Source organism: Homo sapiens, chromosome 16, assembly GCF_000001405.40.
Source record: "Homo sapiens chromosome 16, GRCh38.p14 Primary Assembly".
NCBI classification, from domain to species: domain Eukaryota; kingdom Metazoa; phylum Chordata; class Mammalia; order Primates; family Hominidae; genus Homo; species Homo sapiens.
The window spans coordinates 82436303-82439663 of record NC_000016.10 but is presented as its reverse complement, the minus strand read 5'-3'; positions in this window follow the sequence as shown (position 1 = coordinate 82439663).

Here is a 3361-nt window from a genome sequence, read left to right as displayed (position 1 = left end):
AACCTGCCTGTGAAACACTAGATAAGTGAGTTATCTCCTACCTACCTCGCTTATCTCATCTGTGAATGAAACGAATACTGCCTACTTCATAAAGTTACTATAAACACTGATTAATTAATTCAGGTAATGCTCTTCATATACAGGATAACGATACGTCCCATCTTATCTAGGACAGTTTGGTTTATGCCTGTTACATGGTATAATTATTAGTGGAGCTTTCTCCTTTTACTCTCAGAAGTGTCTTGATTTGGCCTCTGCTGCTGGCCAAGATGGAGTTAGCATGAAATAGAATTAGCATTTCCTTCCTGAAACAAATTTTTTTAAAGAAACAATATATATATAATGATTCTCAAGCTATTGGACATCAGAAAAGATAAGACAGTGGTCCCTGAAAGATGTGAAACAAAAAGAGGTGATTCTACTAACTGCCCTATCTTACCATGTAGAGAAAGTAGATGTCTAAGTCATGGTGTAAAGAAGAGAAAGAAGAGAGAAGGAGGCCGGGCATGGTGGCTCACACCTGTAATCCTAGTACTTTGGAAGGCTGATGCAGGTGGATCACCTGAGGTCAGGAGTTCAAGACCAGCCTGGCCAACATGGTGAAACCTTGTCTCTACTAAAATTACAAAAAATTAGTCAGGCGTGGTGGTGGGTGCCTGTAATCCCAGCTACTTGGGAGGCTGAGGCAGGAGAATCGCTTGAACCTGGGAGGCAGAGGTTGCAGTGAGCCGAGATTGCGCCATTGCACTCCAGCCTGGGCAACAAGAGTGAAACTCTGTCTCAAAAAAAAAAAAAAAGAAAAGAAAAGAAAAAAAAAAAAGATGAGAGAAGGATCTGGAAGTCTAGGAACGCCAAGGGCCAAGGTAGCTAAAATTTTCAAGGCTGAGTTCCAGAGAAAAGGACGCACAGAAAGAGAACTAAGGAGACCTTTAGAGGGTCCAACTTAAGTACTGATCAATGTGTGCCTGTGAAGAAACTTACCCAAGCACGAGGAAAGAGCCACCCCAAAGGATCAGATGAACACCACCCTCTAACAGCGGATTTTCCCAACAGCTAGAATGGAAACTTCTCAATTGATGGGGCATTGATGAGAGTATTAAAGAGAGTCTTGCTTCAGTAATAAGGAAGAATTAACCCTAGATTAAATGCTGCTTTGGTCCCACCTAACAAAATATAAAAGCAAGACCTACATGGATTAAACTGTTTCCTAGTAATTTAACTCTGTTTCAGAAAAGCTGTCAAGAATACTTATAGAAATACGAAAAACAACCAACCTAGAATTGTTTAATGATTTTTAAATGTCTTTTTAAAACAAAGGCAAAATTAAGATGTTTACAAAACACAAAATCTGAAAGAATTATCACCAACAAAACTGTAATACAAAGAATATTAAGATTCTTAGAGCAGAAGAAAAATTATTCCAGATATAGACTTAGATTGAGAAAAAGGAATGAAGCATCAGAAACTGTAACTGCCTGGGTAAATACAATAATTTTTTTCTGATTATTTTCTTATTAAATCTTTATAAAAGATATCAACTGCTATATATATATGTGTGTGTGTGTGTGTGTAAAATTATGAACTTAATTATAAACCCTAAAGTAACCACTAAAATAACTCAACAAAGAGTTATAGCTAATAAACCAACTAAAGAGATAAAAATGGAATTATAAAAAATACTCCAAAAAAAGGCAGAAAAAGAGGAAAGGGAATAAAAAAGAACAGATGGGACAATAAAAAATAAGTACTATCATGTAGATTTAAGCCCACTAAAGATGTCAATAATTACATTAAATGTAAATAGCCCAAATTCCTCAATTAAAAATCCCAAATTATCAGATTAGATAAAAAAGTAATACCTAGTTGTATACCGCCTATAAGAAATTCATTTTCAATACAAAGACACAGATTAAAAGTAAAAGGGTGAAAAGATGTATATCATGCTAATACTAACCAAAATAAAGCTGAAGATGCTATATTAGTATCAGATGAAGTTATATTTCAGGAATTAAAATTACCCAAGTTAAAGATAATCATTTCATAATGATAGAGAGGTCAAGGCATCAAGAGTACAAAACAATTCTAAATATTTATGCACCTAAACACAAAGCTTCAAAATCATAAATTGGAAACTTATAGAATTGTAGAGAAATAGAAAAATTGGCATTTTTGTCAAATTTTAACATTCTCTCAATAATTGATAGACTGCCTAGATAGAAAATTAGTAAGAACATAGAAGACTTATACAATGCTATCAACCAACTTAACCTATTTGACCTTTCTAGAACACTCGTCGACAACAGAAAATACATTCTTTTCAAGTGCGCATGGAACATTTACCAAGAAAAAGCATGTTATAAGCCATAAAACAAGCATCAATAAATATATAACGATTCAAGTTTTACAAAGTATGTTCTCTGACCACAGTAGGATTAAATTACAAATCAATAATAGAAAGCCGTCTAGAAAATTCTTCAAATACTTGAAATGTACGTAACACACTTCCAAAGAATTCATGAATCAAATAAGAAATTAAAAAGTCTTTTAAATTGAATAAAAATGAAAACACAATATATCATCAAAATTTGTTTAACGCGGCTGGGCAAGGTGGTTCACGCCTGTAATCCCAGCACTTTGGGAGACTGAGTCGGGGGGATCACTTGAGGTCAGGAGATGGAAACCAGCCTGGCTAACATAGTGAAACCCCGTCTCTACTAAAAATTCAAAAATTATCCGTGCATGGTGGTGTGCCCATATAATCCCAGCTACTCAGGAGGCTGAGGCAGGAGAATCACCTGAACCCAGGAGGTGGAGGTTGCAGTGAGCCAAGACTGTGCCACTGCATTCTAGCTTGGGCAACAGAGGGAGACCCCATCTCAAAAAAAAAAAAAATTGTTGAATGTGGCTAAAGCAGTGCTTGTAGAAAAATTAAAAATGTATAGCAACAAAATGCTTATATAAAAAAAAGAAAGCTTTCAAATCAATTACCTCAGCTTCCACCATAAGAAATTAGAAAAAGAAGAGCAAATGAAACCTAAAGTAAGCAGAAGAGAAGAAATAATAAACATCAGCATTTTAATTATTAATAAATCCATTTATAATTACGAATTGAATAAACTATAAAACAGAAAACAACAGAGAAAAACAATAAAACCAAAACCAGTTTCTTGTGAAGATTAATAACATTGATAAGTTTGTAGCCACTGATCAGGACAAAAAAAAGGAAAAAGAAAACACAAATTTCCAATATTAGGAATAAAATAAGTAACATCACGGAAGATCTAAATATAATCAAAGTATAGTAAAGAAATATTATGAACAATTCTATGCCAATAAATTTGATAACAGATGAAATAAGCAA